The following is an 18,060-nucleotide window of genomic DNA, read 5'->3' on the forward strand; positions in this document are numbered from 1 at the left end:
ATTATACTTCTCATAGTTGGTTACTATAAATAACCTGATAAGTTGACAAAAACTTTGCAATTGGTTTTATAGTACTTAATATAATAATAAGACAAGGGGGAGGGCAATGCGTTTACTACCTCATCTAGAATTTATATCATGGGGAAAATAGATATTATTGCTTTTGGTCTTATCTGGGATAAAATGTTTGCTTTTTTGCTTAGCTGACCTAACCAATTAGGATTCACTGCAATCAGCCTGCACAGCTTCTGTACTCACATGGTCTGACACGTATTCTTGGTAAGAGGTCTTAGTCATACAAGGCATAGCATAGCAATCTGAAACAGAAAATAAGAAAAAATTTCACCAATCCAATTAATCATGATCATTCTTCTGTATATTCATAAACAGTGGTAGACATTCTTTGAAAAGTTATTTGAAATGAGATTTTTTACAGGGCAGGCCAACCGTTTTGGAGAACCAACCATCAATACCAAACGAGTTCCGCTGGAGCTATAATTCAGAAGTCATTCACTTTGAAATAATGTTAACAATTGAAATATAATTTTTTAAAACTTTTAATAGCCCTAAATCATCTATAGTCCCCAGTGCTTTACGATGATATATCCAACTTCTTTATTGATATTTCCACCTGAACAACGACACTCCAAATATGGTAAATGTAACATATTTGCAACTGAGCTCATCTCCCTCCACACTGCCTCCCAGTTCTAGGCTCTCCTCCTCTTTGCACTGATAACTGGCCACCCATTTGCCCAGAGCTTCCTCTTACAGTTGTTCAGACTGTACACCACCCAAGAGCACCAAGCCAAGGGGCAAGTGGAGGCTGAAATCCACCATGGGCTCTACACCCACGGTTCACCTGCCACTGGCCTGCATCATCCCAGGAGAAAATGCATCTTTTTCTCATTCAAACAATACTACTTCTGGGCTAATGTCTGAGCCAGAGAACTAGGAGTTTCCATCATTTCATCCTTTATATCACACCGTACATATTGTCATCAGGTTTTGTTGATATTTAATTTACTAAACATTTATTGAATTTACCTTCTTCCTCTACTCCTATTAACTCTGATCATTCCAATTTTATGTTGCAGTCAATCCAAAAGTCTTAAAGTTCTTTGCAAAGCAAGGTTCCTGCTGCTTCTCCACTCCATACTTCTGCTGGTCCCTCAACCTCTGAACACCTTCCCCATTGCCTGCCCTCCCTTTTTCAACTTATCTAATTTGAACTCGTCCTTTCTGACCCCACTAAAAGAGACTTCACAGCCTTCAGAAAGGTCTTCCTTGCCTACCTCCTGCTCCAAGTAAACCAAGTGTGTCTTTTCTACATTGCATTTCTTGTGCATACCTTTATTGTAGTTTTTGTTTGCAGATATGCCTCCCTTTATGAGGCTGTAACCATCCCGATGACAAGGACTGTGAATTACTGATCCTTATTTTCCGCTGTCTAGATATTACCTGGCTCACAGAAGTCTCTCAATATGTGTTTATTGACTCCAACTACATAAACATGTCTCTCTGAATTACAGAGAAGCCTCAAGCCCTTAAATCCAGTGAATATTAGTTCTCGATCCATACATTATCCTTTAGAATGCTGTATGACTAGAGTGAGCACTGTTTTCAAAGTTAATTCCTTTCCCTTTTTCTTTAATATACAAAACAAAAAATAAACAAAAAAACACTTCTTTTCCACATATCCTTTTGCTTCTAGTCAGATGATATTTATGTCCTTAAGACAGGCACTTATGTACTAAATTCAATAACATTACATTCATTTTGTAGAATGTAAATACAATGTTTCATGCCTAGCTTCTGGTAATACTCTGAACATCTATGCAAATGAACAGCATAGACTTGATGCCTGTAGCGAAGTATTATTGCACAAGACACAAGCACTGCCAAAGCTGGCCTGACTTTCACGACAAATAATACCCCATGACTTGTCAAACTGAAATCATCTGGCTACTGGCATTTTTCTCCTCACCATCAAAAATGATCTGCCTTGATAATCCCTGCAATTATCTCAATAACCTTGATTTGTTTAAAACAGCAAGAAAGCCTGAATTCACATTATTTTATATCAGGAAAAAAAAATGAAAGTTTTTACACTGAGGAGAAATTTCAACATACAATTTGGTAATAATGAATTTCCTCTGAATTTAGAAATAATAAAGCAAAAATATAAAAGTCACCAAACAATCCATGTAAGATTTTGCTGCCAGACAAAAAAGGAATCAAATACAAGAGACCATTAAATACATAGGAGATGAATGTTATACAGATGGATGGCAGATGATAGATAGATAGATAGATAGATAGATAGATAGATAGATAGATAGATAGTCTAACACACAGAAAAACAGACTTAAAGAGAGATTTTGTATAATCCTTTATAATGTCAATGCAAAGAGCATATTCTACTCAACCGAATAGGACATTTCTTTTGAAATAAACCTAACTTGATGTCCTTGGCATGGTATCAAAATACATGGATTACTCTGACTGTCCATGATATATGGCCTACTCCCAGGAAGCCCCAAATGTCACATCAGCCACATGTCTCCTTGTTGAGCTTTGAAAAAATATATAAAGTTTTTAGAGTTAAAAAAAGAATAATGTCAAATTATAAAACACATCAAAGAAACACATTATCCAGGGAAAGTAAAGGTATATACCAACTAGACTGAGCTGTGCCCGGTGTCCTCTGGCTTTGTGACAATGCCCGAGCACCACCTACCATAGACAACGTGATGTTCAGTGATTTTAATTAGAGAAGCTTCTAAATAGTGTTTTAGATTTAAAAAACAACATAGATAACTACATATAAATGATTTGTATTTCTGTATAAAAATTGAAAATAGTGTACTAATTTTTCAATTTAATCCTCTAAATGAGTTTAATTTCCCTTCATAGTAGAATTATCTGTCTGCATGTTGCCAAATACTAAGGAGATAAATTAGATTGATACTTAGAAAGCATCTGAATACTTCAAATTGAAGGAGTCTATAAATAACTAAAATAATTCACTGTCTGTCTATGTCAAGGTGCTATTTGGTAATTCTTTCAAAAACATTTTAATGATCATCTATTAACCACCAATATAGTCACAGGTACCTTGAGGAATATGAAGCTGATTAATCACACACCCGCTAAAGGGAGATAAGTATAGCAGCCACATGTCCTGGATAACCCAAGGTACGTCTGTCTTCTGCCACTCATCCTGGCATAAGGATTAACAGCACTGCTTTCACTCCCCCAAAATATCCCAGTTTAAACAATAAATCATATTGGTACCATATAGGTAAGAAATATACATAAATGAATAAGAAATGTAATACATGCCATTAAAAAATTACAGAGTGGCCTGGGTGTTCACAGGAGGGACACTATGTCTAACGACATGCACAGTGAAAGAACATTTCTGCTGGTTCTAGGACACTGCACAGATCTTAAATGAATTTATCACCAAAATATCGAATACAAATTTCTGATCACTGAACTGATTTCCCACTATTTCAAAGATACTGCCAGCCTAGAATTTATTCATCCAGTTGATACTCGATGTTAATAATTCATAATGTTTGAATAAATTAATAAATGATTACAAATGAATGCATTTTGATAACTTATGCATGAATAATTGATCCTTCTTAATTGTATTAATAGTAGCTAACATTACTTGAGTCCTCATGTACCAGGCATAGCTATCAGTCCTCTACGTATACACTTTCAATTAATACTTATGACAGCCCGACAATATGTGTACCACTGTCACCCTCATTTCACAGAAGAGGAAACACCAAGGGGTTAAGTAACTTGTCCAAGGTTATGCAACAGGCAAGTAACCAGACAGTACAATTCTGGGGTCCCTCTTTGAACACCATACTATGCTGTAGCTTTTTTAACTATATTGCAAGTTTAGTTATCTGAAACTTAACCACTCAGTACGCTAGCCAAATCCTTGCCACACACAATGATTTAAGTCAGAAACTGACACCAAACGTCCTGTGGGAACCACTCGCCCTCATGTGGAGCCTGTCTGCATAGTGGCTTCATATTGTCACTTTCCTTATGTCATGGCAGCCACCTACTCTCATTTTTTAAAAAATTTTGCCTTTATTACCTATTTTGGAATCTTAAAATATTAATAGTTAATTATGTATTAATTCTGCACCCATAAGTCTTGCATAATACTTTATGAGAATAGCACAGGAAGTCCCAAGATTCAGGGTCCAAAGGGTATCAACAGAGGTTGTCTGCAGCTCAGAACTTTCTAAACAGTTACGTCACTCTCACGGAGTCCATGCCACTCCCCTGCCACCCCCATCGGAGCTAGTGCTGGTGCCTACTGCTGGGAGACATAAGGAAACAGTTACGTCACTCTCACGGAGTCCATGCCACTCCCCTGCCACCCCCATCGGAGCTAGTGCCGGTGCCTACTGCTGGGAGACATAAGGACAGGTCACATCACTGGACCCCTTGCAGATAATCTTCACCAACAGCCTGAAATGTGGCAGCCCTATGGGGTGGCTACACCCAGAGGAATAGCAGTGTTCACAGTGGTCTGGCTCTCAGGGACACCAACTCCTAGGGGAAGGGGAAGTGCACCACATCAAGGGAACACCCCATAGGACAAAAGAGTCTGGATACCAGGCCTTGAGTCCCAGAACATTCTGCTCACGGGAAGTTTCTTTCAGCAGAGGCATTAGTGCAATGCTGGTGCTCGTGAAGGGTCTTGGAGAAGGGGACTTCTTTTCTCTCTTATCCATTACTGCAAACACAGCTGGGGCTTCTCCCACAAGAGCTTGATATGGGTGTATCTATAGACAGCCTTTCTGGAACACTTTAGGGTGACAGCATCCTCACATTAGGAGTGCCCTCCAGATTCAGGCTTACACAAGAGGTGGTCACAACTCCTCTCTACTTGGAACATCAACATTCCTAGACATGAAAACAGGTGCCTGTCTGATAGGAATAGCTGGAACATTGGGTCAGGAGTGCATCTGGGAGTTGGATCACTTTCCTGCTGGCCTGGCAGAAGAACTAAGGTGGCTCCCACCCTTCCCCCTGATGAGACCTCAGTGTTTTTCACTGAAAGCTCCCCCAGCCACCTCTGTCAGGGCTGGGACATCTGCCCACTATTGGGTACTGCATTTAGCCACCTGCTTTAGCCACAACCAGTTTCTACCCAGGGATACTTCCCATACTGGCCTGAAGCTTTAACTATTCAACCCAGTAAATAAATAAAATACTGGTACAAAATAAATAAATAAATAAATAAATAAATGCACACTGTGGGGAAACAAGATAAGCTTCAAGAGATCTCTGCCATTCCAACCCCATAGGAGATGCTGAACTTGTTCACACACTGAGCACATTGTTACTACAAGAGGCGTCTGGGAAAGCCACAATACAAAGATTCACTATAACCAAGGAACCCATACAAATTACTCAGTACTAAAAGCACTAAGAGCCAAATTAGGCTATAATAAACTATAAACATGTAAGTCACATCCTTCTGAAATACCAGATAAAAAATTCAAAAGGTTGATTACTAAGCTACTCAAGCAGATACCAGAGAAAGGTGAAAACTAACATAAAGAAATGAAAAAAAAATTCAAGATATAAATGAAAAATGTTATAAAGAGATACATATTTTAAAGAAAAACCAATCAGAACATCTGGAAATGAAAGACACACTTAGGGAGTTTAAAAATGCATGGGAAACTTTAACAACAGACCTGATCAAGTAGAAGAAAAAATTTCAGAGCTCGAAGATAAGGCTTTTGTTCACCCAATCAAACAAAAATTTAAAAAATAAATAAGAAGGAATGAACAAACTCTCCAGGGAACTTGGGATTATGTAAAAGGTCCAATCCTAAAAATAACTGGTGTTCCTGAGGGAGAAGAGAAAACAAAATGTTTAGAAAAATTACTTGATGGAATAATAGAGGAATACATCCCTGGTCTTGCTAGAGATTTAGATGTCCAAACACAAGAAGCTCAAAAATTCCTGGGAGACTCACTGCAAAAAGGACATCACCAAGGTATATAGTCATCAAGCTATCTAAAGTCAACATGAAGGAAAGAATTCTAAGAGCAGTGAGACAAAATGCAATAGGTAACATATAAAGAAAAATCTATCAAACTAACAGCAGTCTTCTTAGCAGAAATCTTAAAAGCCAGAAGGAATTGGGATTTTATTTTTAGCCTCTTTAAACAGAATAACTGAGAGCCAAGAATTCTGTATCCAGCAAAACTAAATTTCAAAATGAAGGAGAAATAAAGTCATTTTCAGACAAACAAATGCCGAGGGAATTTGTCAGTACCCCAGACCAGCCCTACGAGAAAGGTTAAAAGGAGTTATAAATCTTCAAACAGAAGCTCAGTATGCACTAGAATAGAATCTCTTGAAAGCATAAAACTCACAGGGCCTATAAAACAATAACACAATAAGAAAACAAACCATCTAGGTAACAATTAACATGATGACTGGAACAGTACCTCACATCTCAATATTAATGTTGAAAGTAAATGGTGTAAATGCTCCACTTAAAAGATACAGATTGGCAGAATGGATAGAAAAATCATAAACCAAATATCTGTATTTTAGAAACCCACTTAATATGTAAAGATTCATATAAATTCAAGGTAAAGTGGTGAAAAAAGATATTCCACACAAATGGAAACCAAAAGCTAGCAGGAGTTACTATCCTTATATCAGATAAAACAGACTTTCAAACAACAATAGTAAAAAAAAAAAAAAAAAAAAAAAAAAAAAAAGACAAAGAAGGTCATTATATAATAATAAAAGGATCAATCCAACAAGAGGATATTACAATCCTAAATTTACATGCCCCTAACTCTGGAGCTCCCAGATTCATAAAACAATTACTATTAGACCTAAAAAATGAGATAGAACAGCAACACAATAATACTGGGGGACTTCAACACCGCACTGACAGCACTAGACAGCTCATCGAGACAGAAGGTCAACAAGGAAGCAATGAAATTAAACTACATGATAGAACAAATGAAGCTAACATATATTTATAGAACACTCTACCGAAGAACTGCAGAATATACATTCTTCTCATCAGCATATGGAGCATTCTCCAAGATAGACCATATAACAGGCCACAAAACAAGTCTTGATACATTTTAACATATCAAAATCATATTAAGTATCTTCCAAGACCACAGTAGAATAAAACTGGAAATTAACTCAACAAAGAACCTCAAAGCTATATAAATACATGGAAAGTAAACAATCTGCCCATGAATTATTTTGGGGTTAACAACGAAACCAAGATGGAAATTTAAAAATTCTTTGACATGAGTGACAACAGTGACACAAATTATTAAGACCTCTGGGATATAGCAAAAGCAATGCTAAGAGTACAGTTTACAATGTTAATGCCCATAAGAAAGTCTGAAAGTTCACAGACTGACAACCTAATGTCACACCTCAAGGAACTATGAGAGAAGAACTAAATCCAAAGCTAGCAGAAGAAATGACAAAGATCAGAGTAGAACTAAGTGAAATAGAAACAACAACAACAACAAAAAAGTCGATGAAACCAAAGGCTGCTTCTTTGAAAATATGAACAAAATTGATAGACCATTATTAGCTAGATTAACCAAAAATAAAAATAAAATACAATAAAAAGATTCAAATAAACTCAATTAGAAATGAAAATGATGACATTACGACCAAAACCATAGAAATATATAAAATCATTTGTGACTACTGTTAACACCTCTATGTACACAAACTAGAAAATCTAGAGGAAATGGATAAATTCCTAGAAACATACACCCCTCCTAGATTAAATCAGGAAGAAATAGAAACCTTGAACAGACCAGTAACAAGCAGTAAGTTTCAATCGTAATATTTAAAATGTCAACAAAAAAAAGCACAGAGCAAGATGAATTCACAGCTTGAATTTTACCAGACATTCAAAGAATTGGTGCCAGTCCTTCTGAAACTATTCTGAAAGACTGAGAAAGAGGAAATCCTCCCTAACTCATTCTAGGAAACCAGTAACACTGATACCAAAATGAGGAAAGGGCATATCAAAAAATAAATAAATAAAGGAAAAGAAAACTGCAAATCAATATCCCTGATGAACATAGATGCAAAAATCCTCAACAAAATGCTAGCTAAGCAAATCCAACAGCACATCAAAAGATAATACACCATGAACAAGTGGGTTTTATTCCAGAGACGGAGGGATGATTTAACACATGCAAGTTAATAAATGTAATATATCACATAAACAAAATTAAAAACAAAAGCCATATGATCATTTCAATATAGGTAGAAAAAATAAATTATAAAAACTCCAGTATCCCTTTATGATAAAAAACCCTCAACAAACTAGACATAGAAGGGACACACCTCAAAATAACAAGAGCCATGTATGACATACTTACAGCCAACATCATACTAAATGGGGAAAAGTTGAAAGCATTCGCCCTTGAGAACTAAAACAAGGATGCCCACTTTCATCCCTTCTACTCAACAGAGTATTGGAATCATAGCCATAGCAATCAGTCAAGAGGAAGAAATAAAGGGCATCCACATTGGAAGAGACCAAGTCAAAATAAATGACTATATATCTAGAAAACCCTAAAGACTCCTCCAGAAGTCTCCTAGATTTGATAAATTAATTCGGTAAAGTCTCAGGTTACAAAATCAAAGTATACGAGTCAATAGCACTGCTATACACAAACAATGACCAAGCAGAATCAAATCAGGAACCCAAACGCCTTTATAATAGCTGCATGCAACCAAGGAGATGAATGATCTCTATGAAGAGAACTAAAAAACACTGCTGAAAGAAATCACAGATGACACAAATGGAAATACATCCCATGCTCATGAATTGGAAGGATCAATATCATGAAAATGACCATACTGCTCAAAACAATCTACAAATTCAATGTAATTCTTATCTAAATACCAACATTATTTTTCACAAAATTAGGAAAAACAATCCTAAAATTCATATGGAACCAAAAATGGGCCAAAATAACCAAAGCAACCCTAAGCAAAAATAATAAATCCAGAGGTATCACATTACTGAACTTCAAATTATACCAAAAGGCTATAGTTACCATAACAGCATGGTACTGGTATAAAAATAGGCATGAGGACCAATGTAACAGAATAGAGAACCCAGAAATAAAGCCAAATACTTAAAACCAACAAAGGATACAAAAACATAACTGGGGAAGGGCCACCCTATTTAATAAATGGTGCTGGGAAAACTGGATAGCCACATGTAGAAGAATGAAACAGGATCCCTCTCTCTCGCCTTACACAAAAATCAACTCAAGATAATCAAAGATTTAAGTCTATGACCTGAAGCTATAAAAATTCTACAACATAACCTGGAAAATCTCTTGCAGACACTGGCCTAGGCAGAAAATTTATGACTACGACCCCAAAAGCAAATGTAACAAAAACAAAAATAAATAAATGGGACCTAATTAAACAAAAAAGCTTCTGTACAGCAAAAGGCATAATCATCAGAATAAACAGACAACCCAGAGAATGGGAGAAGATATTTGCAAACTATGCATCCAACAAAGGACTAATATCCAGAATCTACAAGGAACACAAACAAGTCAGCAAGAAAAAAACAAATAATCCCATCAAAAACAATAGATGTTGGTGTGGATGTGGTGGAAAGAGGACATTTATACACTGCTTGTGGGAATGTAAGTTAATACAACCTCTATGGAAAACACTATGGAGAGTTCTTTAAAAACTAAAAGATCTATTCAATTCAGCAATCCCACTACTGGGTATCTAGCCAAAGGAAAAGAAGTCATATCAAAAAGACATATACATTGTTTATTGAAGCACAATTCACAATTGCAAAGATATGGAACCAACCTAAGTACCATCGTTCAGTGGGTGAATAAATAAAATGTGGTATATATACACCATGGAATACCACTCAGCCATAAAAATGAATGAGATAATGTCTTTTGCAGCAACTTGGATGGAGCTGTAGGATATTATTCTAAGTGACATAACTCAGGAATGGAAAACCAAGTACCACATGTTCTCACTTATAAGTGGTAGCCAAGCTATGGACACAAAGGCATACTCTGTGGTATAATGACCTTTGGAGACTCAGAACGGGGAGGCTAGAAAGGGGGTGAGGGAGAAAAAAAAACTACATATTTGGTATAATGTACACTACTCAGGTAATGGATGAACTAAAATCTCAGACTTCACCACTATACAATTTATCCAGGTAATCAAAAACTAAAAGCTATTGTAATAAAAATATTTTTTTATAAAAGGAAAGGAAATAAGGATGGGCATGGTGGCTCACATCTGTAATACTAGAACTTTGGGAGGCACAGGCAGGAGAACTGCTTGAACCTAGCAGTTCAAGACCAGCGTGGGCAACACAGTGAAACCTCATATATACAAATTTAAAAAAAAATTAGCCAGGCATGGCAGCACATGAGATGCTGAGGTGGGAGGATTGCATGAGCATTGGAGGTCAAGACTTCAGTGAGCCAGGATCATGGCACTCCACTCCATTCTGGGTGACAGAGTGAGACCCTGTCTCAAAAAAAGAAAAGAAAGAGAAAGAGAGGAAAGAAAAAGAAAAAGAAAGAAAATGAAAGGAAAGGAAAGGAAAGGAAGAGAGAATGGAGGCAGGGAGGGAGGAAGGAAAGAAGGAAGGATGGAAGGAAGGAAGGAAGGAAGGAAGGAAGGAAGGAAGGAAGGAAGGAAAGAAGGAAAAAAAAAACAAACAAACAGTATATCAAAGAGATATCTGCACTCCCATGTTTACTGAACCACTACTCATAAGGGCCAAGATTTGGAAGCAACCTAAGTATCCATGAACAGATGAATGAATAAAGAAAATGAGGTACATATACACAACAGAGTATTATTCAACCATAAAAAGTGAGATCCTGTCATTTGCAACAACATGGGTGGAACTGAATTATAGTTACCAAAGGCTGGGAAGGGTAGTGGAGGGTGATGCAGAACTGAGGATGGTAAATGGGTACCAAAAAATAGTTAGAAAGAATAAGATCTAGTATTTGATAGCACAACAGGGTGACTTCAGTAAATACGGTTTGGATCTGTGTCCCTGCCCAAATCTCATGTTGAATTGTAATCCTCAGTGTTGGAGGTGGGGCCTTGTGGGAGGTGATTGGATCATGAGGGCAGAATTCCCCCTTGGTATTGTCTTGGTAACAGTGAGTAAGTTCTCATGAGATACGATTGTTTAAAAGTGTGTAGCACCTCCCCATTCTCTATCTTCCTCCTGCTCCAGCTATGTAAGTAATGCCTGCTTCTCCTTTGTTTTCTGCCATGACTGTAAGTTTCCTGAGGCCTCCCCAGAAGTTGATGCCACCATGCTTCCTGTACAGACTGTAGAACCATGAGCCAATTAAACCTCTTTTCTTAATAAATTACCCAGTCTCAGGTATTTCTTTATAGCAATGCAAGAATGAACTAACACAGAAAATTCATACCAAGGAGTGGAGCATTGCTATAGAGATACCTGAAAATGTGGAAACAGCTTTGGAACTGGATAACAGGCAGAGGCTGGAAGAGTCTAGGGGGCTCAGAAGAAGATAAGAAGATGAAGGAAAGTTTGGAACTTCCTAGAGACTTCTTGAATGGTTGTGACAAAAATGCTGATAGTGATATGGACACTGAAGTACAAGCTGAGGAGATCTCAGATGGAAATGAAGTTATTGGGAAATGAAGCAAAGGTCACTTTGTTAAGCACTAGCGAAGAGCTTTGCTGCATTGTGACCTTGCCTTAAGGATCTCTGGAACTTTGAACTTGAGGTATGACTTAGGGTATCTGGTGGAAAAAGTTCCTAAGGAGCAAAGCCTTCAAGAGGTGGCCTGGCTGCTTCTAACAGCCTAGGCTCATATAACAGCCTATGCTCATATGTGTGAGCAAAGATATGACCTGAAATTGGAAGTTATATTTAAAAAGGAAGCAGAGTGTAAAAGTTTGGAAAATTTGCAGCCTGGCCATGTGGTAGAAAAGAAAAGACCATTTTCAGGGAAAGAATTCAAGCAGGCTACAGAAATTTGCATAGAAAAGAGGAGCCAGATCCTAATAGCTAAGACAATAGGGAAAAGGCCCTGAAAGCATTTCAGAGACATTCCTGGCAGCCCCTCCCATCACAGGCCTGGAGGCCAAGGAGGGAAGAATGGTTTTGTGCGTCACACCCAGGGGCCTCTGCTGCCCTGTGCAGCCTCAGGACACTGCTCCCTGCATCCCAGCCACTCCAGCTCCAGCCATGGCTCAAAGGGGCTCATATACAGCTTGTGCCACTACTTCAGTGGGTACAGGCCATAAGCCTTGGCAGCTTCCACATGGTGTTAAGCCCACAGGTGCACAGAATTGAGGCTCAGGAGCCTCTACCTAGATTTCAGACAACGTATGGAAAAGCCTAGACATTCAGGCAAAAGCCTGCTGCAGTGGTGGAGTCCTCACAGAAAACCTCTGCTAGGGCAGTGCAGAGGGGAAATGTGGGGTTGGAGGTCTCACAGAGTACTCACTGGAACACTGACTAGTGGAGCTATGAGAAGAAGGCCACTGCCCTCTAGACCCTGGAATGGTAAAGCAACCTACAGCTTGCACGATGCTCCTGGAAAAGCTGCAGGCACTCAGTGCCAGGCCCTGAGAGCAGCCACAGGGGCTGAACCTTGCAAAGTCATAGGAGCTGAGGCTCCTGAGTCCTTGTTGGACCAAAGGCACTCAACTCAGGCTTGTGCTATGACTTGCTTTGACCAATGGCAGATGCAGGGCAAGCTGACGCTTAAAATGTGGGTGTGCAGCTTGTTTTCAGCTCATGGCACTGCAGTTACTTACCATTAAAAAGATCACGCTTTAGTTAGCCTCTGCTCCTTTAGAGTGGGCCCCCAGAGCAAACACAGGTAGAACACACCGGAGCCTGAAATGAAGCCTTTTATAAAACCATGCAGTCAAGCCCAGCCTGGATCATCAGCCCAATCATGAGTGGCCTAAAGATCTACTAATGTGTTATTTTAAGACATTGAATTTTGAAGTATTTTTATAGCAATAGCAGACAGAACAATCTACACAAAAAAAGGGCAAAGCTTTGAATATGCACTTCACACCAAAATTTATGAAAAGTTGCTTAACTTCATTAGTAATCAGGAAAATGAGAAAGAAACCACAATGAGCTACCAATGCATCCCCACTAGAATGACAAAAATTAAGAAGTCTGTCACTACTAGATGTTGGCAAGGTTGAGGAGCAATGACAACTCTCATACTCTGCTGGAAGAAGATTAAATGTTGCAACCCATAAAAAAGCAACTCAGCATGAACTTGAAAGTTGAAGATAATTCCAGCAAATTCCATGACCCCAGGGCTCCAGCAATTACACAAAATTAAGAGATAAGTTCATGTTAATGGGAAAAAAATGAAAACAATTATCAACAGGAATCTGAGAAAATAAACTGTGGCATATTCAGACAATATAACATTACACAATGAAAATAAATCAACTGCGACTACATATGCAAGAATATAAATATTATCAATAATGTTGAATGAGCAAAGCAAGCCAAAAGACTATATACTACTTTTGTTGAGAGATGGTATCTTGCTATGTTGCCCAGGCTGAACTCAAACTCCTGAGCTCAAGTGATCCGCCTGACTCAGCCTCCCCAGTAACTGAGATTACAGGTGCATGCCACCATGCCCAGCTTTATACTACCATTTTTAAAATACAAAATCAAGCAAAAGCCCTTAATATGTACCTTAGATATATACGGCAAACTATATAAGTAGTATATATAAAGTAAACTGCCTTTTTACTTATACAGTAAAGATTTTTTGAAGAAGCATGGAAATAGGAAACAAAAAATTCAGCATAGCAGTTGGGGAGGAAAATTAGTATCATGTTTTCATTCTTAAGCTGGATGGTGGCTTTATAGATATACATTTATTATACTTCATGACTTACATATTGAAATATGTATGTTGCCTTGTATAAATACAATATTATAAGATTTCTTAAAGTCCTTTGAAATGGTGTACCCTAGTCATCTAATGTAAGAAAGAAAAGTTGATACAGGTAAAATAGTGGACACAGTATGTTTTCTTTTAACTGAACAGTCCATTTTTCTGCTTTGAAACCCCTTTTTCAGCAAGGCTTGCTCCTTTTCTGATTGGGAAAAACAAGTATCTCACCAGATCTTTTGTAAGAACATACCATGTACAGTCAGTAACAGGCAGAAGATAGGGTGCATGCACTGCTCCTAACCATCCACCTTCATTAGATCACACTATTCTGAAGGAAGGAGGAGTCTATGACTGAACCAGGGCATCAGCCTCCTCCATCTTACTCCTTCTTGACACAGGGCATAAGCTGCGCCCTGGCATTTCTAACTCCACTGAATGAAATCTGAGCAGAGACAAAATACGGAAATCACAAGAAAGATAAACTGACTCTGGCTCTCTTAAGCAAAAAAGGTGTCTACTGTAAGAATATCCAAGGCTCAGAGATTTAACATCTGTGACAAGATCAGACAGAAACAAAGTGATCAAGAAAGCAGATGGCAGACCAAACATCCCATGGCTAAACCAGCCTGATCAGCATGGCACCCCATTTCTTCTGCTGCTGAAGCCCCTGGAATGAGTGAACTAACTAATTTACCTGTTCCCTTCTTGCTAGAGTCTCTGTCCCTCAAGCCAAAGTCCTGGGAAAGAGCATCCAATTGACCAATCTTAGATCTTCTTCCTGCACTCTTGGACAAAGCCATGGGGAAATGGAGGATCTGCCTCCTGGAAAACCCTAAGTCTTCTCTCATAATTCCCATAAAGGAAAGCAGGGTTCTATGAGTAAGAGAGATGGATGATGAGTAGAGGAGGAAAGGCTGCTTCCCACTCTGGGCTATGAGATGTCATCAGCTAGTTGTGCATACTTGTCATATCCAACTGCATGGCTACAATGTAAGAGGAATGTAGAATGGTTGCCGAGGTCTGAAATTCTGTTCCACTGATAAGTATTGTTATTGATGATGTCATTATTGGGCATTCCAAGGGCGTCAGCAATATTAATTTCTTCTTACTATAGGACAGACAGTACATTAAGCATTGTATGTTCATTAATTTGTCTACTCCTTCCAATGACCCTGATTTAACTGTAATAACTACATACATGATCTTTCAGTTATGCACAGGGGAAAATAACTGTAAAAGAATACAGGCAACACTTAGAAAAAGGAAAAATAATAAACACAGGAAAAGAAACGCACTATTACTAGAAAGCAGGGAAATGCGTATTAAATATAAGTATCCTCTTCTACCCAGGAAAATGACTGGTAAAGGTAAGGCTCACCAAGTGTTGAAGCGAGTGTGAAGCAAGCATCAGGAGCTCTCACATCCTGCTGAGGAGGTGAAAATTGGTACAACTACTTGATGAAGCACTTGGGAATATCTAACAAAGCTGAGTAAGGCTGGAACTATGCATGCCTAGAACCTGGCTGTTTCTAGATAGATAGAAAACCTCTAGCACATGTGCAAAAGGTACAATGTTTATCGTGGCTTTTGTCTGTAACAGGAAATATATGATAATACCCAAACACCCATCAGTAGGAAAATGAATAAATAAATTGTGATATATTCAAAAATGGAATATTATACAGCACTTAAAAGAGCTACAGTGATATATATTCTATCACAGATAACTCTATAAAATATATTTGAACCAAGAGAAAAGGGTGCAGGATGATACATGCCATATATCATTTATGTAATGTTTGCTTATAGATACACACACACATCAGGTTAAAATGTAACAACACTGCTGAAAAGGAGACCAACGACAGCATAGCAATTATGTCTCAGGAGGGATGAAGATATACAGGTTTGGGGACAGGAGACTTCAAGTGTAATTGCAATGCTTCACTTCTTTCAAAAAGCAGAAGCAAGTGCGGCAAAATACTGAGATTAGTAAATCTGGACAGCCAGCGTAGAGTTGTTCATTTTCTTATTCTCTATACTTCACTGCATATTTGAATATTTAAAACAAAAATTCAACATTAGGGGTAGGTTATAGGAGGAATTTTATACGTTCTCATATTTATTTCTTTAGAGGTCTCATTTGCCCCTGAATATCATCATCAAGTAACCACGTTATGTACTCCCTCAACAGCAATCATTTGCTCAGAACCTTAAAAAACAATGAAGACATTTAACAAATCATAATTATCATCATCCCTGTAACTGCATTTATTAAGTAAGTTCCTACTGTGTGCCAAGCACATGGTGGCAGCCTGGCAACAGCCTCTTTACACTGAAGTAGCTCAAGGTGACACTGCCAGTAACAGCAAAGCTGCAATTTGTCTATCTCCAACATGTAACACCTTACCTAATGGCTCCATTTCTAAAAGTATATTGCTGCTGCCCCTGGCTACATTATAGTAGCAAAGCATGTGTTTCATGCATAGGAGTAATATTAACATACATATTTGACTGTCAGGTAGTTAGTGGGAAAGTGTGTAAATCAATGACTTGCCTAAGCTCATGTGACTAGCTGGTAGCAGAGCTAGAACTGGAATCTAAATTTTAAACAATAGACCACTTCATAGCTTATTGAGAAGGACAGACTATACTCATTACAACAGATTTTCCAACAAATGCCTCTCTGAAGCCTTGCCAAAATTGAATGTTCCTAATATCACACCACTAAGCACTGTTCAAATAAACTGCCTTCCAGGAATATCTTTAATACACTGGCACTGAATCATGACAACTAGCACTGCTGCCAAAATGACATACAACATTAAATGACATGAAAACACGCTATATGCAGAAATAAAATCAAACTATTTTGTTGCTAGAACATGTCTCTACTAGGAGCATTTCAGAATAGCATTAGATTTTTGTGAATTTATTAATTAGAATTTTCATTCAGCAAATAAAAAACTAGTACCACGGAAACTTTTTCTAATCTGATGTGGTGACAGGCGAGAAGTCAGAATGAAGTAGTGGAAAAGTCATCCAGTCACACAAGTTCTAGCTCTGACTCTCCAGCTTAGCTGGCAGGGAGACAAAGGCAAATCACAGCCTCATGAAGCCTCACCCACACTGAATACACAGAGCTCTGCTGGAAAATGGGACCACGTTTGGGAATATATTATTTTTAAAAATTGAAGTGTAACATACATGCAGAAAAATGCATAACAGCTTAGGCCACAGCTCAATAAATTTTCATGCACTGAACACATGTAACTAGCTTCCAAATCAAGAAACAGAACATGTGAATGTGTACCCTTGGTCACTACTTCAATCAAGGCAAATCTTGATGGTTGTCCCACCTTCCAACACAATAGATGACTTCTGTTTCTTTTGTTTCTTTTTTTCTTTTCTTTTTTTTTTTTTTTTTTTTGAGACGGAGTTTGGCTTTGTCGCCCAGGCTGGAGTGCAGTGGTGCGATCTCGGCTCACTGCAAGCTCCGCCTCCTGGGTTCACGCCATTCTCCTGCCTCAGCCTCCCGAGTAGCTGGGACTACAGGTTCTCACCACCACGCCCGGCTAATTTTTTGTATTTTTAGTAGAGACGGGGTTTCATCCTGTTAGCCAGGATGGTCTCTATCTCCTGACCTCACGATCCACCCGCCTCAGCCTCCCAAAGTGCTCGGATTACAGGCCTGAGCCACCGCACCCAGCCTTCTGTTTCTTTTTATACACTCTAGAAATGGAATTACAGAGTATTTGTCTTTGTCCATTTTCTGTTGCTTATAACATAACACATGAAACTGGGTAATTTATAAAGAAAAGGAATTTATTTCTTACACTTATGGAGGCTGAGAAGTTCAAGGTTGAGTGGGGCACATCTGGTGAGGGCCTTCTTGCGGTGGGAACTGTCTACAGTGTCCCAAGGTGCACAGGTATGACATGGTGAGGGGGCTGAGCACGTTGGCTCATGTCTCCTTCCTCTTCTTATGAAGTCACCATTTCCACTCCCATGATAACCCATTAATCCATTCACCCATTAATCTATTAATCCACAAGTGG

The 18,060-nt window shown here is 38.4% G+C and overlaps 1 protein-coding gene across 30 annotated transcripts in view; it reads right to left on the reverse strand.

Moving 5' to 3' along the window:
• L3MBTL4 (L3MBTL histone methyl-lysine binding protein 4) overlaps nucleotides 1-18,060 on the reverse strand; it is a 460,543-nt gene that overhangs the window by 357,023 nt on the left and 85,460 nt on the right. For 29 of the 30 annotated variants that reach the window (NR_158610.2, NR_158609.2, NR_158611.2 and 26 more), the window contains exon 2: nucleotides 259-317. The gene's annotated coding sequence lies outside the window, so the exon portion shown is untranslated. Of the gene's footprint in view, nucleotides 1-258; nucleotides 318-14,696; nucleotides 17,395-18,060 lie in introns of those variants that run through there. The other variant, XM_047437915.1, reaches the window with a different exon arrangement.

The sequence above is a fragment of the Homo sapiens genome, chromosome 18, assembly GCF_000001405.40.
Source record: "Homo sapiens chromosome 18, GRCh38.p14 Primary Assembly".
Classification (NCBI taxonomy): Eukaryota; Metazoa; Chordata; class Mammalia; order Primates; family Hominidae; genus Homo; species Homo sapiens.